Source organism: Homo sapiens, chromosome 1 (assembly GCF_000001405.40).
Source record: "Homo sapiens chromosome 1, GRCh38.p14 Primary Assembly".
Classification (NCBI taxonomy): domain Eukaryota; kingdom Metazoa; phylum Chordata; class Mammalia; order Primates; family Hominidae; genus Homo; species Homo sapiens.
In genome coordinates, this window is record NC_000001.11 from 13,541,264 (window position 1) to 13,565,963 (window position 24,700).

Below are 24,700 nucleotides of genomic sequence, written 5' to 3' on the forward strand. Positions count from 1 at the left end.
TGACTCTATTATCCATTCATGGAAAGAAGCTCAGATCATCAAAGATAATCAAAACCCACCAACCAAACAGCACACTCAAAAAGGCTGAGTGTGGTGGCTCAGGCCTGTAATCCCAGCACTTTGGGAGGCTAAGGTGGGGGGACTGCTTGAGGACAGAAGTTGGAGACCAGCCCGGGTAACCTAGCAAGACCTCCGTCTCTACAAAAAAATTAAAAATTTGCCTGGTGAGGCGGTGTGCACCTGTAGTCCCAGCTACTGGGGAGGCTGAGGCAGGAGGATCACCTGAGCCCAGGCAGTTGAGGTTGCAGTGAGCCATGATTGCTCTGCTGCACTCCAGCCTGGGTGACAGAGTGAAAGAAACCCTGTCTCAAAAAACAGAAACAGAAACAGAAACAAAATCAGCCTGACCTTCCTCCTCCCAAGCCTCAGATGCTGGTGCTAACTCATCTCTAGGTGGACGGTGGGCGATTGTTCTAATGATGACTCTGGGCCTCCTGGAAAGAAATCCTGCTGAGTGACCCACAAGCAGATAACACAATGATCCTGCACGGCAAGTGAACAGGGTCCTACTAGAGACCAATGAAATGACTGCTGACTGCACTCAGAGAGGGCAACTATTCCACAGGGGTTAAGCAGAAAGCCCCCCAGCCCCTTGACTGCTCCTTCCTGAGCCCCCAGGCTTCCCCTGCCGCATCGGACCCAGCACCCACCCTCCTCCCAAGCCTGTCCTCTTCATGCCACTCACAGGCACCAGGTGCTGACGGGGCCACCAGCTCTGAGCTCTGAGTCAGGGACATCGCTGCAGGCAGGTAGGTATGAACAGGACAGGGCAGACAGCAGACAGGGAGAGAGCTGAAGGATGGGGTCACTTCGGGTGGGATGGTGTCGTGAGGAGAAGAAAGCGGTTCTGGGGTGGAGGGAGACCAGTGGAGCTCCTTCAGACAGATGGCCAGGGAAGGCCCTTCGGAGGAGGTGACATTTGAGCAGGGAAGACCCGGCTGACTGAAGGAGCCAGACCCACAGAAAACAGCGCGTTCTAGTTAGAGGTAGGACTCGCTACACATTCACAGGGCCCAACGCAAAACTAAACGTGAGGCCCCGCTCAAAAATTATGAGGAATTTCAGGATGGCAAGACAGAGTGTTCGGGGTCCACGCCCGAGAAGCAGGCCCTGGTAGAAGGAACAGTAAGTCCTATAGCCCTAAGGCTTGGAAAGTTCCAGAATTTGAAAGGAGGCCAGTGTGTTCTGGAAGGCAGAAGGTATGAGAGGCTGTCAGAGGGCTGTGCAGGAGATATCTGTGGGGCAGACTGTGGTAGCCCCTGAGACCGGTAAGCTGGGAAACCACTGGGGGAGCTTTGCATGAAGGATGGGCTTGATAGAATTAATGTTTTTTTCTTATTTATTTATTTTTTACAAAAGAGAGGGAGCCTTGGTATGTTGGCCAGGTTGGTCTTGAACTCTTGGCCTCAAGCAATCCTCCTGCCTTGGCCTCCCAAAGTGCTAGGATTACAGGTGTGAGTCGCTGTGCCTGGCCGGGATTAAATTTTTTTCTTTCTTTTTTTTTTTTTGAAATAGAGTTTCACTCTTGTTGCCCAGGCTCACTGCAACTTCTGCCTCCCAGGTTCAAGCGATTCTCCTGCCTCAGCCTCCCAAGTAGCTGGGATTACAGGTGCCCACCACAATGTCCAGCTAATTTTTTGAATTTTTAGTAGAGGTGGGGTTTCACCATGTTGGCCAGGCTGGTCTCGAACTCCTGACCTCAGGTAATCCACCCGCCTCGGCCTCCCAAAGTGCCGGCATTACAGGCATGAGCCACCGCGCCCAGCCTTTTTTTTTTTCTGAGACACAGTCTCGCTCTGTTGCCAGGCTGCAGTGCAGTGGCGCGATCTTGGCTCACTGCAACCTCCACCTCCCAGGTTCAAGCAGTTCTCCTGCCTCAGCCTCCCGAGTAGCTGAGAGTAGCATAACACCACCACACCCAGCTAATTTTTGTATTTTTAGTAGAGACAGGGTTTCACCATGTTGGCCAGGATGGTCTCGATCTCTTGACCTCGTGATCCGCCCACCTCGGCCTCCCAAAGTGCTGGGATTACAGGCGTGAGCCACCGTGCCTGGCCCGGGATTAATATTTTTTAAAGACCCAGCTAGCTGCTGGGTGAGGCTGGTGTGGAGTGGGGGTCTGAGGAGAAGCAGGGAGTCAGACTAGAAGGCCAGGAGGATGGTGGCTCAGGCCCAGCGATGACCTAAACTGCCCAGGGCCAGCTCCTGACAGCCAGCTCAATGTCATCGCTCACGACCCAGCCTCTGTCTGAAGTTTCCACTCTCCTTGCACCCTTACGATGTTCACTTGCACTGTCAGGTCCATCCTTCAACCCTACTTCAGTGACACCTGGCCTAGCTCCTACCTACGCCCCTACTGGCACCCACCTCCCCAGCTCCCCCCGGGAAGTCCTTAGCATTCTTGGTGTCCCCACAGAGTGCCCGGCTTGTCTCGATACTGAGCAGCCTGGTATGTGCTCGAAAACTTGCTGCCGAGTGAGTGAATGCATTTATTACTTCATATTAGAAGAAACAGGGCTCTGTTCCAACCAGGCAAATCTGAGCCTAGACCCTGACCTGAAAAAGAGGAATTCTATTTCCAAACACCCGGCTCATTTCCCTCTCATTAGATTTAAAAAAAAAAAAAAATTCAAAAAAGAAAGAGAAGAAGCTGGCCTCCGAGGCTGTGGCGCTCAAATTGCAGCCTTCGACTATTGTTTACGCTATATTTGTCCTGTCTCCAGGCATCATGCTGGGGGACAGAAAGGAAAATGCCAAACCATTTCTTCCTGGCCTGGCACCCACGGCGGAATGTTGCCCTGCTGCCGTCTCGCGGCCAGGACAGTCACTGCAAATGTCCCAGAGTGATCATTTCCAGAGACTGCAGGAAGAACAGGCTGGTTTTGATGGCAAATGATTTAGCCAGGAGAGGTCCAGGCTGAGGACCTCTTGGGCTGGTGGCCTCCAGTAACCTGAGCTGTTATTTATCCTGGGTGGTGTTACGGTCCTAGAATTGCCAACTGCACAGTAGCTGGATGACAGCTCTGCTGGACAGGCGACTTGCAGCCCTGGCTAAGGCCAGAAACACTGAGTCTTTACAAGTCTTTTTATGGTTCCTCCACAGGGCTGTTTTATTTACCTGCTGTGCAGATGAGGCCTAAGAAAAACCCAGACCGAACGTATAATTTGGAGCTAAGTACATGATGGATGCCCAGAGATTTAAAATTAGCCGAGTAAACTTAATACTGGGGCATTATGCTTGCTTTCCAGCGCCTGAATGTCTGTTAGAGACTCATCACTTGGGAATAGCTCTTGATAAAATAATCAGACTCTATTCTTCCTGGAAATTAAAAAAAAAAAAAAGGATCCACTCTGAAGGGGACCAGTTGTCCCAAATGTCCTCCAACCAAATCAGGGAGGAGAGCTTGTTGTCTGTGCACACTCAGGTCCAATGTGTGGGATCATTTGGTGGTTTGCACAAATGAAAGTGAGATTTGGGTGATATTTGGGTGATTTTCAAAAGGCAAATATGTATTCACTATTTTATGTTGTTGTTGAGATGGAGTTTCACTCTTGTCGCCCAGGCTAGATAGAGTGCAATGGCATGATCTCAGCTCACTGCAACCTTCGCCTCCTGGGTTCAAGCGATTCTCCTGCCTCAGCCTCCCAAGTAGCAGAAATTACAGGCGTGAGCCACCACACCCGACTAATTTTTGTATTTTTAGTAGAGACAGGGTTTCACCATGTTGGTCAGGCTGGTCTTGAACTCCTGACCTCAGGGGATCCACCCACCTCGGCCTTCCAAAGTGCCGGGATTACAGGTGTGAGCCATGATGCCTGGCCTTTGCTATTTTATAGGCATATCCCACTTAGCTTGCACAACCGAGGTCCTCCTCTATTGCCCACCCTCTGGAAGGATGAATGATAGGTGGGGTGGGGTGGGGCGATGAAGGGGTGTGTCCCCCAGCACCTTCTGTGAGTTCATGATAGGAGATGGCAGAAATTCATGTTAATAGCTCACACACCTTACATTTTTCACATGCATTATTTCATTTGATCCTTACAACAATTTCATGAGGTCGGTATTATCACCTCCTTTCACTAAATGGAGAGGCTGAGGCTTAGATTGCTGACATGGCTTGCCTATGATCAGGCGGGAGGAAGCAACTGCAGAGCCAGGATTCCAACTGCCAGATGGGTAATCAAATACCCTGCACTGTTTTCATCCAGACTAGGGCGTAGTCGACCAGGTGTTACACCTCTGATCTCGTCATCTGTTGAAACTGTAGGGAGCCAATCAATAACACTCTTTTTTTTTTTTTTTTTTTTTTTTGAGATGGAGTCTTGCTCTGTCGCCCAGGCTAGAGTGCAGTGGTGCCATCTCAGCTCACTGCACCCTTTGCCTCCCAGGTTCAAGCGATTCTCCTGCCTCAGCCTCCTGTGTAGCTGCGACTACAGGTGCCCACCACCACACCCGGCAAATTTTTTGTATTTTTAGTAGAGACAGGGTTTCACTGTGTTAGCCAGGATAGTCTCGATCTCCTGACCTCGTGATCCGCCTGCCTCAGCCTCCCAAAGTGCTGGGATTACAGGCATGAGCCACTGTGCCTAGCAGTAACACCCTTTAATCCCCTTCAGAGTACAGTAACAATTGAGACATGCAGTGCATTAGTTATATATAACAAAGGATCCCAAAATTTAGCAGCTTCAAACATCAGTAAATATGTATTGTCTCAGTTTCTGAGAGTGAGGAATCTGAGAGTGGATGTGTTGGGTGATTAGAGGGGAGGGATTCTTAGGAGGTTGCAACGAAGAGGTCAGCCAGGGCTACAGTCAGCTCAAAGCTCAATTGAGGCTGGAAGACTTGATTTTAAGCTCACTCACTTTCCTGTTGGCAGAAGGCCTCCTTCCTTGACATGTGGGTTTCTCTCTAGGGATGCTCATGATATGAGTTCAGGCTTCCCCAAAGCAGGTGATGGGAGAAGGAGGGGGTGGAGAGAGAGAGAGAGAACCCAGCAGTGACATACTATCATTTTTGCCATATGCTAATGATCACATAGACCATGCCTCATACAGTGTGGCACTATACAAGGGCATGAGTACCGGGAGCCTGGAATTATTGGGCACCATCTTGGAGGTTGCCTACCACATGGACAGAAAAGTTGTAAAGATAGAGAACACAATGAAACACGGCTTTAAAACTGAAAAAGCCTGTAATCCCAGCACTTTGGGAGGATCACGAGGTCAGGAGATCGAGACCATCCTGGCTAACACGGTGAAACCCCATCTCTACTAAAAATACAAAAAATTATCTGGGCGTGGTGGTGGGCGCCTGTAGTCCCAGCTACTTGGGAGGCTGAGGCAGGAGAATGGCGTGAACCCGCGAGGTGGAGCTTGCAGTGAACCGAGATCGCACCACTGCACTCCAGGCTGGGTGACAGAGCGAGACTCCGTCTAAAAAAAAAAAAAAAAAAAAAAGAAAAAATTGAAATAGCTGCATTAAAGGAAGTGGCATAAGAAGTGTGGGCACAGGGGCTTCTTAGTACTTCATCTCTGAAGTAGAGACACTTAGCCACCTGGCCACAGGTGGGGCTGGAAAACCAAAGCCTCTCCTGCAGGAGCACAGCAGCCAGGTTAGGCTTAAGGTGTGGAGCAGTAGAGAACCTCCACTGAGGACCAGACATTCTGCAAAGAGAATGCACTGAGCTGGACAGGCTCAGCAACGTCTCCCAAGGGCCAAACTCGGGTCATGCCACTCCTCTCCCGGCAGGCTGGTAATGCTTCTCTTGAAGACATGCCCAACATATGGCAAGTGAATGGATTTCTCCCTCCACCATCCCTGGCCCAATCCACTCTCTGTTCCAACAAGGACTGCTACATCTGATGGATGTTTTATGGACCCCTGTGGGCAAGGACTGTTTCTCATTGATGTGGGTGTCCCCAGAACCTATCATGGGGCATGACATGTGCCATCTTCCTCCTCCCCCTCTTCCATCATTGAGTGCCTAGCATGTGCTAAGCAGTGTACTAATTCCTCCACAGGAATGATCTCATTCGATCATCATCACTTTCTCTTATGTGGCAGGTACCAATACTATCCCCATTGAAAGGATAAGTCAGCATTAGAGAAGTTAATGTGCCAATGGCCACAAGTTAGCAGGTGGCAGAGGTGGGATCTGGTACCAGCCAGTCTGACTCCACTGCCACGCTCTTAAACTCCATGCCAGAGAGGCTGTTCAGTAAATATTTGTTGAAATAGATTCATTTAAAAAAAACCATTGACTTAAAAAAGGAAAGAAAATCTAAGCAAGTAAAATTGTTGGACCATAGCAAGTTCTAGACAGAAGCTAATCCCCACAGTTCTTTTTCCAGGTCCCAAGAATAAACTTAAAATGGAAAAGAGGAACATCCTGCAAATAAATCATTAGTTTCCAAAAGGCAAAAGCATGAGCCAGGAAACCACTTCATTTTCAGAATAGACCTTCTTCTCATTCCCATATACTTCTGTAGATGCTGCCTCCATGATTAAAAGAAGGGCTGCTGGCCAGGCGCAGTGGCTCATGCCTGTAATCCCAGCACTTTGGGAGGCCGAGGTGGGTGGATCACCTGAGGTCAGGAGTTTGAGACCAGCCTCAACATGGAGAAACCCCATCTCTACTAAAAATACAAAATTAGCCGGGCGTGGTGGTGCATGCCTGTAATCCCAGCTACTCGGGAGGCTGAGGTAGGAGAATTGCTTGAACCCGGGAGGTTCACTGCACTCCAGCCTGGGCAACAAGAGCGCAACTCTGTCTCAAAAAAAAAACAAATAAATAAATAAATAAAAGAAGGGCTGCTGATGAGACCTTAGCAGGCAGGAGTACGTGAGAGCCTTACTCCCCGCTAAGTCCCCACCAGAAGTTCAGCACGATGGTCAGTGCTGATGGCTTGTTGGCTCTGAGCACCAGGAAGTGGGGATGGGTTTATACTCCACTTCCCAAGAAACACAATTTCAGAGTTTATGAGACAAACAAATGAAAGGCCAAGAGCCAGGCTGCTCAAGGCATTAGTGCCTCTACTCAACTTGTTGGCTTGTCTGGAAACAACAACTCATTTGCTGGTATGCAGTGGTGCCCGGCCTGCTGCTTAGATGCTCCCCACAACCCCACCCACTCGTCTAATTATGTCAATTCATGTCACAGTTCCCACACCAGAGCGGACCAACTGCCACATGTGCACCAACTATGAGTAAGGCATAAGGCAAAGTTTCACGGGGACACAAGGTCTCATGGGGAGCTATGAGGAGATAAGATTTCATGAAAATACAGGCCAGGCGCGGTAGCTCACAACTGTAATCTCAGCACTTTGGGAGGCCAAGGAGGGTGGATCATAAGGTCAGGAGTTCGAGACCAGCCTGGCCAACATGGTGAAACCCCATCTCTACTAAACATACAAAAATTAGCCAGGTGTGGTGGCACGCGTCTGCAATCCCAGCTACTCGGGAGGCTGAGGCAGGAGAATCGCTTGAACCCGGGAGGCAGAGGTTGCAGTGAGCCGAGATCGTGCCATTGCACTCCAGCCTGGGTGACAAGAGCAAGACTCCATCTCAAAAAGAAAAAAAAAAAAAATTTCATGAAAATACAAGGTCACATGGGGGAGACAAGGTCCTGTGGGGATACATGGGCAGACAAGGTCACATGAAGATACATGGGGAGCCAAGGTCTCATAGGGAGACCTGAGAAGACAAGGTCATGTGGGGAGACATGAGGACATAAGGTCATGTTAGGAGACGAGGTCTCATAAGGACACATAAGGGAACAAGCGCACAAGGGGCGAAATGGTGTCTTAGTTCATCTCGTGCTGCTAAAACAGAACACTTAAGACTGGTTAACTCATCAGAAACAGACAGTTATTTTCTCACAGTTCTGGAATCTGGGAAGTCCAAGATCAAGGTGCAGGCATCCGGCGACAGCTGTCCAGAGGGTGGAATGCAGTGTCCTCACAGGGTAGAGGGTGGAAGGGCAAGAGAGAGTGAGAGAGCAAACTCCCCTTGTCAAGTCTTTAAAACTGCACTCATTTATTCACAAGAACAGAGCCCTCATGACCTAAACACCTTCCAGCAAGTGCCATCTTCCAACATTGTTGTATTGGGGATTGAGTTTCCCACAAAACAATTTGGGGGGACACATTTAAACCACACCACACGGGGAGATGAGGTTTCATGAAGAGACATGGGGAGGCAAGGTCTCGGGGGAGACAGGAGTAAGGGAGCACTTCCCCTGTAGGGATTGGATTTGGGTTTTTATTTGTCCTCCCTCAAGGAGCTTGCTTCAGTCTTGGGGTGAATTGGGGTGCAGGGCGCATGACAAAGGGATGATTAGCAGGAGAGAGGCTGAGAGGCACTGGCCACAATGCTTTCTTTCATCACTCAGAGGAAGGAGGGGCGCTGGGGCTGGACTGCAAAGGGAAGCTTTGACCAAGGACATGCAGCCTGAGGAATTGGGAAGATGCAGACCAGTGTTTCCCAGCCCTCATTCTCATATGACTTTTGCAATAGTTGATGACAACCTGTACTACTGTTTATTTAACAATTTATCTAAATTGAATTTTTTTTTTTTTTTGAGGCAGAGTCTCACTCTGGCACCCAGGCTGGAGTGCAGCAGCACGATCTCCGTTCACTGCAGTCTCTGACTCCTGAGCTCAAGCGATCCTCCCACCTTAGCCTTCAGAGTAGCTGGGACCACAGGCACACACCACCACATCCAGTTAATTTTTGTATTTTTTGTAGAGATAAGGTTTTGCTATGTTGCCCAAGCTGGGCTCAAACTCCTGGGCTCAAGCTATCTACCTACCTTGGCCTCCTGAAGTGCTGGGATTACAGGTGTGAGCCAACATGCCTAGCCCATTTATATATGTATATACATATACATATATATACACGTATACATATATGTATACGTATATATACACACATATGTGTATATATATACATATATAAATGGACCAGGCATTAAATTAGTTTATACATATATATATATAAATTCCTCTTTAAAGAAACTTCATATCTCTATAGTCAATGGAAAACCAGTATCACTTCCCATAATATAATGTAACCATAGGATAAAGATAATGCAAACAAAACAATTGTATTAAATTCTAGCTGGATACTGTTGCTGGTGCAGTATCCCTTAACAGGTGTTGAAGAGGTGTTTAAGACACAACACATAATTCACATAAGAACACATGATTCAGACTTTCTCCTTGATATGATTCAAAGATTAAAAATGAACTGAATTCCTCTTCGAGAAGTACGGCATATCAGTTCCTCTGAAGGCTCCTCCTCTGTAATATAACTAGGTCTCAGGAAAATTACAATAAACATAGTTTTATGCGCTGCTAGGCTTGTATGAAAATAAAGGCTCTCTAAGGTTGGTGGGGAGATGGGAGGAGAATACTAAATTGACAGTAGATTGGGAACAGTCAGCAAATGTAACCGGAGGAGACAGTGTGAGTACCAGCCCTGGAATCCGCACACTAAGCCTTGAGCTCTCTGTGAGATAGGGAAGCTAAATCTGAGACTCTTGCCTTAAGCCCTGATTCTTTCAAGGGAGCTTAAATGTATCCAGTGTGGTAACAGCCTCTGGCTCTTGAGAAAAGCAAACACAAATTCTCTCCGGAATAAAGCATCACCAATAAATGCTCCCAGGATCCCTACAGATTATGTTCAACCAATAAAAAAAACACACACACAATAAAAATTTCACAATAAAAAACATTACCAAACTTGCCAGGAAACAAGCTTCGCTGAGTGAGATCAACAGAATTAACTAAATACAGATTTAGAGTCATATAAATTTCTGATGCTGGAACTGTCAGATACAAAATATAAAGTATGAAGTGTTTACAGAAAAAAATATGTAACTAAAAACTGAACAAAGACCAAGAGACCATAAAAATTGATCAGGCAGATTGGAAAGAAACCACATAGAAATTTTAGAATCGAAAACTATAATCATTGAAACTCAATATATTTGTTAAGCATCAAATAAGAGAAAGATGAGTAAACTAAGAGATAGATCTGAAGAAATTATCCAGAAGGCAAAACAGAGACAAGCAGATGGAAAATATGAAAGATAAGGAAATTCCAATGAGAAAGCATTATACACACCACATTAAATTAGTTAATATATGTAAACACTCAGAATAGTGCCTGGCAATTAGTATCAACAAAGCCAAATGTTGGTTCTTTGACAAAATCAAGTGTTGGTTCTTCTGATGATAACAATTTAAAAACCTCTGGCAAGAAGAATCAAGAGAAAAAAAAAAAGACATTGCCCAAATAAACAAGATCTGGCATTAGCTGAGACAAAAAGATAAGCATATACTATAAACATTATGGTAATACATTGGAAAATATAGATGAAATAGGCAAGATAATAGAAAATGTCATTTACCAAAACTGACTAAAGGGGAAATAGAAAATTTGAACCATCATATAAACATTAAGGAAATTGAAGGTTGAATTAATAGTTAAAATTTGACTAAAAGTGCATATACCAATCCCAGGGATATTCACAAGGGAATTTTAACAAACTTTCAAAGAACAGAGGAATTGGAGGAAACATTCCCCAATTTATTCTATAAGGTGAATAAAACTTTTATATTAATGCCAAGCAAGAATAATACTAAAAAGGAAAATTGGTCGGGTGCAGTAGGCCACATCTGTAATCCCAACACTTTGGGAAGCAGAGGTGGGAGTATCACTTGAAGCCAGGCGTTCCAGACCACCTTGGGCAACATAGTGAGACCTTCATCTCTAGGGAAAAAAAAAAAAAAGTTTCTGAGCATGGTGGCACACTCTTGTAGTCCTAGCCTGGGAAGTTGAGGTTGCAGGGAGCCGAGACTGTGCCACTGTACTCCAGCCTGGGTGACAAAGCGAGACCCTGCCTCCAAAAAAAAAAAAAAAAAGAGTTTAGCAAAGTGGCTGCAAATAAGAGCTAAGGCAGGCAGATCACGAGGTCAGGAGTTCAAGACCAGCCTGGCCAACATGGTGAAACCCTGTCTCTACTAAAAATACAAAACAAAATAGCTGGGTGTAGTGGCATGTGCCTGTAATCTCAGCTACTCGGGAGGCTGAGGCAGGAGAATTGCTTGAACTCAGGAGACAGAGGTTGCGGTAAGCTGAGATCACGCCATTGTACTCCAGCCTGGGTGACAGAGCAAGGCTGTGTCTCGGGGAAAAAAAAAATCAATATACAAACATCAATTGTACTTTTATACACAGGCAACAAATGGAAATATTATTTTTGCCTAATCTCACATCAAGACTTATGATGAAGTTATGGTAAGTAAAACAGTATGATATTGATGCAGTTACAGACATAATAATCAATGCGCTGGGCGCGGCGGCTCACGCCTGTAATCCCAGCACTTTGGAAGGCCGAGGCAGGCGGATCACCAGGTCAGGAGACCGAGACCATTCTGGCTAACACGGTGAAACCCCGTCTCTACTAAAAATACAAAAAAAAAAAAATTATCCGGGCGTGGTGGCAGGCCCACATGTAGTCCCAGCTACTCGGGAGGCTGAGGCAGGAGAATGGCATGAACCCGGGAGGCGGAGCTTGCAGTGAGCCGAAATAGCGCCACTGCACTCCAGCCTGGGCAACAGAGCGAGAAGCCGTCTCAAAAAAAAAAAATTATAATCAATGCAACAGGCTAGACCCCCAATTATTTGCAAACCTTATACATGAAGGGGAGCTATATCAGTTCCATGAGTAAAAGATGTACTATGAAACTAATCTTGAGATAAATGGTTAGCCACCTGGGGTGGGGATGGGGGTGATTGAACCCTTACCTGACACCACATACAAAATCAATTTCGAGTGGATTAACAACTTAAAAGTAGGACATAAAAGTTTAAAACTTCATAATAAAATATGAAAGAATATTTTTGTGACCTAGAGATAAGGTAAGAGTTTTTTACACGACTTAAAAGAAAAACTTGGCACATTGAGTTACATTAAAATTAACCATTTCTGTTCATCAAAAGATACCATAAAGAAACTGAAAAACAAGTCATAAATTGGGGGTATATTTGCATACACATAACCACGAATAAGTGGCAGCATATAAAGGATATAGACATGTATTAACTTTGACAAATCAATAATAAAAAGACAGTCTAGGAACAAAACGGACAAAAGATATGAGCAGACCTTTCAATGAGAAAATGCATATGGTGGATAAACATATGGAACGATAACCAATCTCACTAGTAGTTGTACTAATTTGCATTTAGCACCCAAATGAACTGTACTATTTTACACCCTCTAGGTCTGCATAGTGCAGGAATTAAGAGCACAGACTCCGGAACCAAATCCTGGCTCCTCCACGGCCTTGGGAAGGTAGCAACATCTCCATACATGCCTCAGTTTTCTCTATGGAGAAAGGAATATTAACCCAGTAAAATCCGATTGGAAGTTGGCTACCATTATTCCCCCTGCTCCTGTTTCCATTCTGTCAACTTCAAATAGTGCTACCTAGTATCTTAAACGATTGGATATTTTGGACTTCATTTATAGGATTATGGCAGGATTTGGCTGTGGTAACTAATTCATAAGTATTGTAGGAAAATTAATATATATGAAACTATGTCACAGTCATTCTCTACCCCAGTGGGCTTCACATTTTTATTCTGCTTACATATATTTAAAAATAATCTTGAAAAATGATGTACCCTCTCTGCACACTTTAAAACTTAGATTTAAAATTCCTCAGCACGGCCAGGCACGGTGGCTCATGCCTGTAATCCCAGCACTTTGGGAGGCCAAGGCAGGCGAATCACAAGGTCAGGAGTTGGAGACCAGCCTGCCAATATGGTGAAACCCTGTCTCTACTAAAAATACAAAAAAAATTAGCCGGGCGTGATGGCAGGCCCCTGTAGACCCAGCTACTAGGGAGGCTGAGGCAGGAGAATAGCTTGAACCCGGGAGGCAGAGGTTGCAGTGAGCCAAGATGGCGCCATTGCACTCCAGGCTAGGCGAGAGAGCAAGACTCTGTCTCAAAAAAAAAAAAAAATTCCTCAGCACAAGTTCAAATAGTTGCACAAGATACAATTTTACACCCAGCATAGTGTAAATGTTGACCTTTTAAAATAAATGATTACATTACTCTTTTAAATGCACCCAACAGAATCTGAAAATCTGCAATTAATGCCCTTAAAAATATGGATATTGATTTTAAAAATCATATATGATGAAAAAAAATTTTTTTTTTTTTGAGACGAAGTCTAGTTCTGTCGCCCAGGCTGGAGTGTAGTGGCTTGATCTTGTCTCACTGCAACCTCCACCTCCCGGGTTCAAGCGATTATTCTGCCTCAGCCTCCTGAGTAGCTGGGATTACAGGTATGCACCACCACGCCCGGCTAATTTTTTGTATTTTTAGTAGAGACAGGGATTCACCATGTTGATCAGGCTGGTCGCGAACTCCTGACCTCGTGATCTGCCCGCCTCAGCCTCCCAAAGTGCTGGGATTACAGGCATGAGCCACTGCGCCCGGCTGAAAAAAATCTTATGCTGATGGCACTATCACGTATCTCTGCAACAAAAGTATATCTAAAAATGGAAATGGATGGCCGTGGTGGCACCCGCCTGAGGACAGGAACGCCAGCCCGGTCAGGCCTCGGCGGGGCCTACACGCTTCGCTGGATCACTGGCTCCCGCCTCCCGCCCCGTGCCCGGCCGTGGCAGAGCCCTTGTCCGCCCAGCGCCTATCGCGGAGTCAAAGCTGTACTTCCTCATCGCCCGGTACCTATCGGCGGGCCCGTGTCAGAGAGCGGCCCAGGTACTGGTGCAGGAGCTGGAGCAGTGGCAGTTGTTGCCGAAGGGGTTGGACTGGGAGGGCAACGAGCACAACAGGAGCTACGAGGAATTGGTCTTGTCCAGTAAACATGTGGCTCCTGATCGTCTATTGCAAATCTGCCAGCGCATCGGTCCTATGTTGTATGAAGAAATTATGGCTGGGCACGGTGGCTCACGCCTGTAATCCCACCACTTTGGGAGGCCGAGGCGGGTGGATCACCTGAGGTCGGGAGTTCGAGACCAGCCTGACCAACATGGCGAAACCCCGTCTCTACTAAAAATACAAAAAAATAGCCAGGCGTGGTGGCACTTGCTTGCAATCCCAGCTACTCGGGAAGCTGAGACAGGAGAATCGCTTGAACCCGGGAGGCAAATGTTGTGGTGAGCCCAGATCGTGCCATTGCACTCCAGCCTGAGCAACAAGAGCGAAACAACATCTCAAAAAAAAAAAGAAAAAGAAAAAAAAAAAGAAATTCCACCCAGTATTTCAAGAGTCGCTTCTTTCTTTGGTGCAGGAAGGCAGTCTTTGCTACTTACAGCAAAAGGTAACTTAATTTGAAGAAGTGTTCTGCTTTGTATTAATAGCTTAATAATGATTATAATTATGAAGTAATGTAAGCATTGTGAAAGAAAGGTGATAATGTAATTGTAAATCATGCTTTGGACTATAAAATTCTCTGCATTTAGCATAGAACATTGAATTTTATTACATAAGTGTTTAATGGGCCCTTCTGTAGTAAAAAGTTGATAGAGATATAGATGTTAAGCTAAAAAGCTTGAATTTATTCTGAGATGTGTTTGAGGTTTTATCAATGTGAGTTCTCAATTTTCCATTTTGTAGCTCACTCATAACTTCATTGAATGTAATTGTATGTGTCTAAAAAAACTCTTTAAATGCTAGAAGTATTTCATTTGATATTTAGATTCTGAAAGCCCTTTGTTATAAAGGGAAGTGATTTTTCTTTTGCAAAGTTATGTGCTAGCAAAATGTTGGAAATTGCTATTCTTTTTCTGTTAGCTTGGTATATATGATTTAGACTAAGTATATGTATGTGATATAATCTATGCATACATGTGGCTAAACTGCTAATGGGCAAAGATTGTTGGTTCTTCTGTTGCTGAGCATACATTAAGTTCACCCCATGATTATTTTTTATTATGAGCCATTGCTGATGTGATGCCGCCTCTTAGATCCATCACCAATATAAAGCTTAACTGAGAAAGAACAGCCCTCCCTCTCGGTTCCATGCCAGACTGGTTTGTTAGCTTTAGTTGTTTCTTAGTGCTCTAGCCATACCGCCCTGAGGCACTAATCAGGACACTGTTTATATTCTTCCTCTTCCGTGTCCCTATTCACTTTGTAATTATTCTATTTTAGCTGGTTCTATGGTAGTAGTAATTTGGTAGCCTGCTTTCCTTTGTTTTCTATACTCGTGTCAAGCTCCACGTCATTGTTTTATGATGAGCAGTGATTTAGAGCTGGCAGACCTTAGAAGGGACTTCAGCAAGCTGCCCTAGGGTAGGGGCCATATTCTCTGTTTGTTTTGTACTAGTACCACAAAAGGATGCCTTGTAACTGCTCTTTGGTCAGGATAGTGGCAATGAATCCATCCATGTAAAATACAATATGGCTGTTAGTTTAGGGAACCGGAGGCTCAGTAGAGGTTTAGTATGATGTCTTCCCTCTCTTCTCTGAGTTGTGAAGAAACTCATTTCTGGCACACTGTGACTGCTTCAAACCTATGTTCTGCTGTTATCTCCTATAAAGGAGAGTAGACTTTTTTTTATTTTAAGTGCATTGCTGGTAGGTCAAGCAGGGATGGACTTTGAATTAGTGTTCAGACTCACAGATCCTGCATATGTGCTGTCCAGTAGAGGATTTTCTGTGACCCTGAAATGAAGGGAAAGCTGTATAATTTATCAGTACTTCCTAAAGAGAGAGACTAAAGTCATGGCAGTATCGGCCAAATTAATTTTAAAACTGAACAAGACATGAATTTTCATAGAAATCAAAGAAATTAAATTTTTCCTTATAAAAGCTTCCATTTTTGAGAAGTTGGATCAGTTGTAAGACCTTTTATTTTTAACATTGTATGGTATAATTCTGCATTGAAAAATAAACACTTATAGCCGGGTGCGGTGGTTCACACTTGTAATCCCAGCACTTTGAGAGGCCGAGCTGGGCAAATCACCTGAGGTCGGGAGTTCTAGGCCAGCCTGATCAACAAGGAGAAAGCCCATCTCTACTAAAAATACAAAATTAGCCGGACGTGGTGGTGCATGCCTGTAATCCCAGCTACTCAGGAGACTGAGGCAGGAGAATCGCTTGAACCTGGGAGGCAGAGTTGTGGTCAGCCGAGACTGTACCATTGCACTCCAGCCTGGGCAACAAGAGCGAAACTCAGTCTCAAAAAAATAATAATAAAAATAAAAATAAACACTCGGCATGAAATGGAACCTGGAGTCAAAAGATCTGGTTTTATGGTCCATCTTTACCAATCACTTGCTGTGGATCTCCCTAAAGGTCCTGGAACCTCTGAGCCTCAGTTACCTCACTTGTAAATTGGCAAAAATCCCTACCTCACAGAGCTGTTGTGAGGATCCAATGAGATAACGTATGTTGAAAGCACTTTGTGAATCGTAAAGTGCTACACAAATACTAGTTGTTCTTGCTGCCGTATCTGAGATGTCTTAATTTTTTTTTCCTTCAGAAATAGTCTAATAAACCTCCAGGGCTTTTCTGTTAAAGTATATTAGTTGGTAAAATGTTGAATAAATCATTTGTTACAATATTAAAAAATGGAAATGAACAGTTTTTAATTGTCTAAGTTAAATTTTTTCTGGATTGAACTATTGTAATTTTTTTTTTTTTTGAGACGGAGTTTCACTCTTGTTGCCCAGCCTGGAGTACAATGGTGCGATCTCAGCTCACTGCAACCTCCACCTCCTGGGTTCAAGTGATTCTCCTGCCTCAGCCTCCAAAGTAGCTGGGATTACAGGCATGCGCCACCACTCCTGGCTAATTTTGTATTTTTAGTAGAGATGGGGTTTCTCCATGTTGGTCAGGCTGGTCTTGAACTCCTGACCTCAGGTGATCCACCCCCCTTGGCCTCCCAAAGTGCTGGGATTATAGGCATGAGCCACCGCACCCAGCCAAACTATTATAATTATGATACAATTGATACACACTGATACAAATATTACCAATTTTAATAAATAAATATACTCCTAATATTTTTATGCCAATAATAAATAAAGAAAAAATAATAAAAGTAAAATCTTATTGGAAATGTAGCACTTAATGAGATGAGTATCTCCCCCAATTAACTCATATACCCATGGATGTCTATTACTCATTGCTAGAATAAGATAGGAGTCGATATTAATTTATTCCAATTAAAAAATTTGTATAACTGTAAGTTTGAGGAACTATGTTCACATAAATACAAATATTGGAATAAAAGGAATGTTGTTATCTCACTTCTTTGAACTCATGAATTTATCAAAGATAAATTATTAAAGATTAGATGGTGATCAATCGTTAAATGACAAGTTAATGATGGCAAACGGATTAAATTTTGTTGGAGAAAAAAAGAATTGTGAACATTTTGGTTTGCAAAAAGACATATCTCTGAGTCATTTGGGTCATTTTCAGTTTCTGGAAAGCAAACCGAAAGGCCCAGTGGTCCCCTTTTATCCTCAGGGAATACATTTTGAGATTCTCCAGTAGATGTCAGAAACCTTGAATGAACCTCTATACAGCCAGCTCCCCTTAGCTATGGGTTCTGCACCCATGGATTCAACCAAGTGAAGACTGACACTATTTGGCCTGGGCATGGTGGCTCACTCCTGTAATCCCAGCACTTTGTGGGGCCGAGAAGGGCGGATCCCTTGAGCTGAGGAGTTTGAGACCAGCCTGGGCAACATGGTGAGACCTTGTCTCTACTAAAAATACAAAAAAAAATAGCTGAGTGTGGTAGTGTGCACCTGTGGTCCCATCGGGAGACTTAAGTGGGAGAATCACCTGAGCCCTCGGGGCGGAGGCTGCAGTGAGCCGAGATCGCCCCACTGCACTCCAGTCTGGGTGACAGAGCAAGACTGTCTCAAGGAAAAAAAAATTTTTGAAAAATAATTGTATCTGTACTGAACATGTACAGACTTTTTTCTTGTCATTATTCCTTAAGCAATATGGTATAACAACTATTTACATAGCATTTACATTGGATAAGGTATTATAAGTAATCTAACGATGATTTAAAGCACATGGGAGAATGTGCATAGGTTATATGCAAATACTACACCATTTTATACCAGGGACTTGAGGATCCAAGGATTTTTGTATCCCTGGGGGTCCTGGAAGCAATCTCCCATGGATACCGAGGGATAACTTACCTATACATACATACATATGATAGCTTATCATATGTATAGCTTATATCATATAATAGCTTATCCTATACATACATACGTATGATAAAGTTTAATTTATAAATTAGGTGCAGTAAGAGATTGTTAGGTATGAGTTCTAAATTCCTTTTCAAAAAATTACTATGTCAGTATGTTAAATTCTTCGCCTTCTACTTTTAAACTTAACTTCCTCCCGAAGCAACTTTTTCGATTACCTGCTTCACCCTGACTCATTCTGATCACCTGCTCCACCCTACATTCAAATCACCTGTTCCACCCTAACTCATTCCAATTACCTGCTACCTGCTCTGCCCTGATTCCCGCCAAAGCACTCACCCCGTCATGCTCTTTAAGTTAGCCAATCGGAATTAGTTTAGCCTGTGCAGTCTAACCCTAGTCAATAGCAGAACGACACAGCAGCAGGGGACACGTGCGTCAGGAATATGAACCCCTTCCCCTCCTTGTCCAAGTGTGCGCTCACTATGGTTCCATCTGTAAGGGCGCACCCTTCTATAGAGAAGTAACTTGGCTTGCTGAGAATTGAAAAGAAAGTTTTATATCAAGTGCTATTTCTTTTGCGGCACTGAAACTTTATATATAACAATTTGGGGTCTCACCTGGGATTACATTCCCTTCCGGGGACAGTCTCTGGTTCTCTCTCGTGAGGAGGTGCACCCCACCCTATTGTGGCGGCCTCAGGGGTGAGAAATCATGACCCACCCAGTGCGAGGAATAACCTGAGCTCTCAGCAACGTGGGAAAAAAAAAAAAAAAAAAACTGGCCAGCAACATAGCTTAAAGGATCCTCACATACGGCAGCCACAACTCTGTGCACAGACCAAGGAAGGAGAAGCCGCAAGAGCTGGTAAAGTATTTCCTTGGTGGTCAAATTCTGGAGGGCTAAATGTGTGTGTGCGTGAATGATCACAAACGACCCTTCTTGCGGTGTGGTTCGTGTGGATGGTGACAAGTCCTACTGCTGGACGGAGTGAGTGGATCCTCTCTGCGGTTCCGTAGCTACCTCATATGGCTTAGGGTGGATCCTGCCGTGGGCACACCCACACTAAGAAGGACCTGATTCTACCTTGAGGGAGCGGCCAGAGAGGACAGCACGAGTAGCAAGTGTGCAAAGGACCTTCAGAGGGAGAAAGGGGAGAAACAGGTCAACCTTCCAGGACAGGCAAGACACCCCTGGGTTGAGGGGCTGAGCCTTCCAGGACAGGTAAGACACCCCTGGGTTGAGGGGTTGAGCCTTCCAGGACAGGCAAGACATCCCTGGTTTGAGGGGTTGAGCTGTCAGGCCTCTGAGCCCAAGCTAAGCCATCATATCCCCTGTGACCTGCACGTATACATCCAGATGGCCTGAAGCAACAGAAGATCCACAAAATAAGTGAAAATAGCCTTAACTGATGACATTCCACCATTGTGATTTGTTCCCGCCCCACCCTAACTGATACGATATATTCTCCCCCCGCCCTTAAGAAGGTACTTTGTAATATTCTCCCCCACCCTTGAGAATGAACTTTATACGCCTATCCCAAACCTATAAGAACTATTGATAATCCCACCACCCTTTGCTGACTCCTTTTTCGGACTCAGCCCGCCTGCACCTAGGTGAAATAAACAGCCTGTTGCTCACACAAAGCCTGTTTGGTGGTCTCTTCATACAGACGCACGTGACATTTGGTGCCGAAGACCTGGGACAGGAGGACTCCTTCGGGAGACCAGTTCCCTGTCCTCGCCCTCACTCTGTGAGGAGATCCACCTACCACCTTGGGTCCTCAGACCAACCAGCCCAAGGAACATCTCACCAATTTCAAACCGGGTAAGTGGTCTTTTCACTCTCTTCTCCAGCCTCTCTCGCTACCCTTCAATCTCCCTGTCTTTCCAATTCCAGTTCTTTTTCCTCTCTAGTAGAGACAAAGGAGACACATTTTATCTGTGGAACCAAAACTCTGGCGCCGGTCACAGACTCGGGAAGACAGGCTTCCCTTGGTGTTTAATCACTGCAGGGACACCTGCCTGATTATTCACCCACATTTCATTGGTGTCTGATCACCACGGGGACGCCTGCCTTGGTCATTCACCCACATTCCCTTGGTGGCAAGTCAATTATGGGGATGCCTGCTTTGGTTGCTCACCCACATTGCAGCCCAGGGCTGTTCACCACCCCCTTCTCCGTGTCTCTACCTTTCTCTTTAAACTTGCCTCCCTCACTATGGGCAAACTTCCGCCCCTCCATTCCCCCATCTTCTCCCTTAGCCTGTGTTCTTAAAAACCTAAAATCCCTTCAACTCACACCTGACCTAAAACCTAAATGCCTTTTTTTCTTCTTCAATACCGCTTGGCCCCAGTACAAACTCAACAATAGCTCCAAATGGCAGAGAACGGCACTCTCGATTTGTCTATCCCACAAGACCTAGATAATCTTTGTCGAAAAATGGGCAAATGGTCTGAGGTGCCTTACGTCCAGGCATTTTTCACACTTCGTTCCCCCTCTAGTCTCTGTTCCCACTGCGACTTGTCCCAAATCCTCCTCCTTTCCCTCCCGCCTGTCCCTTCAGTCCCAACCAAAAGCGTCGCTGAGTCTTTTGAATCTTCCTTTTCTACTCACCCATCGGACCTCTCACCTCCTCCCCAGACTGCTGCTGCTCAGCTCGCTCCCCGCCAGGCTAATCAGGCCCCAACTCTTCTTCAGCCTCTGCTCCCCCACCCTATAACCCTTCTATTACCTCCCCTTCTCACACCTGGTCTGGTTTACAGTTTTGTTCTGTGACCAGCTCTCCCCCACCTGCCCAACAATTTCCTCTTAGAGAGGTGGCTGGAGCTGAAGGCATAGTCAGGGTACATGTGCCTTTTTCTCTATCAGACCTTTCCCAAATCAGCCAGTGTTTAGGCTCTTTCTCATCAGACCCCACGAAATATATACAGGAATTCCGATATCTAACTCTGTCCTACAAGTTAACCTGGAGAGACTTACATGTCATCCTGACTTCCACCCTCTCCCCAGATGAACGGGAAAGAGTTTTCTCTCTAGCCCAGTCTCACACTGATAACCACCAGCTTCATGAGCCAGGCCTCCAGGAAGGCATTAGAGCAGTTCCCCAAGAGGACCCCCTATGGAACTATCAGGCAGATTCCCCAGGTATAGCTAGGCCAGATTACATGGTTTCCTGCCTAGTTGAAGGGCTCAAAAAGGCAGCATACAAAGCTGTTAATTATGACAAGCTAAAGGAAACTACCCAAGGTAAAGATGAAAACCCAGCCCAGTTCATGGCCTGCTTAGCAGTTAGACACTTTACCGCCCTAGACCCAGAGGGGCCAGAAGGCTGTCTTATTCTCAATATGCATTTTATTACCCAATCCCCTCCTGACATTAGAAAAAGCTCCAAAAATTAGATTCCAGCCCTCAAACCCCACAACAGGACTTAATTAACCTCACCTTCAAGGTGTACAATAATAGAGTAGAGGCAACGTATTTCTGAGTTGCAATTACTTGCCACTGTGAGAGAAACGCCAGCCACATCTCCACACACGAGAACTTCAAAACGCCTGAACCGCAGCAGCTAGTTGTTCCTCCAGGACCGCCTCCCCCAGGATCTTGCTTCAAGTGCCGGATATCTAGCCACTGGGCCAAGGAACGCCCACTGCCCGGGATTCCTCCTAAGCCATGTCCCATCTGTGCTGGACCCCGTTGGAAATTGGACTGTCCAGCTCACCCGGCAGCCACTCCCAGAGCCCCTGGAACTCTGGCCCAAGGATCTCTGACTGACTCCTTCCCAGATCTTCTCAGCTTAGTGGCTGAAGACTGACACTGCCTGATCACCTTGGAAGCCCACAGGAGCATCACAGATGTTTTGGGTAACTCTTACAGTGGAGGGTAAGTCCATCCCCTTCTTAATACGGAGGCTACCCGCTCCACATTACCTTCTTTTCAAGGGCCTGTTTCCCATGCCCCCATAACTGTTGTGGGTATTGATGGCCAGGCTTCTAAACCTCTTAAAACTCCCCAACTCTGGTGCCAACTTGGACAATATTCTCTTATACACTCCTTTTTAGTTATCCCCACTTGTCCAGTTCCCTTATTAGGCCGAGACATTTTAACCAGATTATCTGCTTCCTTGGTTATTCCTGGAAAACAGCCACATCTCATTGCCACCCTTCTTCCCAACCCAAAGCCTTCTTCACATCTTCCTCTTGTATCCCCGCACCTTAACCCACAGGTATGGGACACCTCTACTCCCTTCCTGGCAACCGATCACATGCCCCTTACCATCCCATTAAAACCTAATCACCCTTACCCCGCTCAACGCCAATATCCCATCCCACAGCATGATCTAAAAGGATTAAAGCCTGTTACAGCATGGCCTTTTAAAGCCTATAAACTCTCCTTACAATTCTCCCATTTTACCTGTCCGAAAACCGGACAAGTCTTACAAGTTAGTTCAGGATCTGCGCTTTATCAACCAAATTGTCTTGCCTATCCCACCCCATGGTGCCAAACCCATATACTCTCCTGTCCTCAATACCTCCCTCTACAACCCATTATTCTATTCTAGATAAACCTAGCAGACCCCGTAAATCCTAAATCCTTTCCCCACTCCCCTTTCCATTTCTTAAAAAGCAGCCCTAAAAGCTGCTCCCACACTAGCTTCCCCTAACTCAACCCGACCTTTTTCATTACACATAGCCGAAGTGCAGGGCTGTGTGATTGGAATTCTTACACAAGAGCTGGGACCACACCCTGTAGCCTTTCTGTCCAAACAACTTGAACTTACTTTTAGCCTAGCCCTCATGTCTGCGAGTGGCAGCTGCCGCTGCTTTAATACTTTTAGAGGCCCTCAAAATCACAAACTATGCTCAATTCACTCTCTACAGTTCTCATAACTTCCAAAATATATTTTCTTTCTCACACCTGATGCATATACTTCCTGCCCTCCGGCTCCTTCAGCTATACTCACTCTTTGTTGAGCCTCCTACAATTACCATTGTGCCTGGCCCCAGACTTCAATCAGGCCTTCCACATTATTCCTGATACCACACCTGACCTCCATGACTGTATCTTTCTGATCCAACTGACATTCACTCTGTTTCCCCATATTTCCTTCTTTCCTGTTCCTTACCCTGATCACACTTGGCTTATTGATGGCAGTTCCACCAGGCCTAATCACCACTCACCAGCAAAGGCAGGCTATGCTATATAGTATCTTCCACATCTATCATTGAGGCTACCGCTCTGTCCCCTCCACTACCTCTCAGCAAGCTGAACTCATTGGCTTAACTCGGGCCCTCACTCTTGCAAAGGGACTACATGTCAATATTTATACTGACTCTAAATATGCCTTCCATATCCTACACCACCATGCTCTTCCCACACAAGGCAAATGGTTCTTAGACCAAGGAAAATATCTCCTTCCAGCCTCACAGGCCAATTCTATTGTGTCGTCATTTCATAACCTCTTCCATATAGGTTACAAGCCGCTAGCCCACCTCTTAGTACCTCTCATTTCCTTTCCATCATGGAAATCTGTCCTCAAGGAAATCACTTCTCAGTGTTCCATCTGCTATTCTACGACTCCTCAGGGATTGTTCAGGCCCCCTCCCTTCCCTACACATAAAGCTTGGGGATTTGCCCCCGCCCAGAATTGGCAAATTGACTTTACTCACATGCCCCGAGTCAGGAAACTAAAATACCTCTTTGTCTGGGTAGACTCTTTCACTGGATGGATAGAGGCCTTTCCCACAGGGTCTGAGAAGGCCACCGCGGTCATTTCTTCCCTTCTGTCAGACATAATTCCTCAGTTTGGCCTTCCCACCTCTATACTGTCCAATAAAGACCGGCCTTTATTAGTCAAATCACCCAAGCAGTTTCTCAGGCTCTTGGTGTTCAGTGGAACCTTCATATCCCTTACCGTCCTCAATCTTCAGGAAAGATAGAATGGACCAATGGTCTTTTAAAGACATACCTCACCAAGCTTAGCCTTCAACTTAAAAAGGAATGGACAGTACTTTTACCTCTTGCCCTTCTCAGAATTAGAGCCTGTCCTTGAGATGCTACAGGGTACAGTCCATTTGAACTTTTATATGGACGTACTTTCTTGCTTGGCCCCAGTCTCATTCCAGACACCAGCCCTCTAGATGATTATCTTCCAGTCCTCCAGCAAGCTAGACAGGAAATTGGCCAGGCTGCTAATCTTCTCTTGCCTACTTCAGATTCCCAGCCACATGAAGACACCCTAGCTGGACGATCAGTTCTTGTTAAGAATCTGACCCCTCAAACTCTACAACCTTGATGGACCGGACCCCACTTAGTTATCTATAGTACCCCAACTGCCATCCGCCTGCAGGATCCTCCCCGCTGGGTTCACCATTCCAGAATAAAGCTATGTCCATCACACAGCCAGCCTAATCTTTCCT

The 24,700-nt window shown here is 45.5% G+C and overlaps 1 pseudogene, besides 1 other annotated feature; it reads left to right on the forward strand.

The window, feature by feature from the left end:
• Positions 291-370: an enhancer, noted in NCBI's record as "active region_214". NCBI's record gives its function as "activates an Ori minimal core promoter by ATAC-STARR-seq in GM12878 lymphoblastoid cells {active_cell/tissue: GM12878}" and the evidence as "EXISTENCE:reporter gene assay evidence [ECO:0000049][PMID:35858748]".
• Positions 13,650-14,631, forward strand: BRWD1P1 (bromodomain and WD repeat domain containing 1 pseudogene 1; annotated as a pseudogene).
• The last annotated feature ends 10,069 nt before the right edge of the window (positions 14,632-24,700 follow it).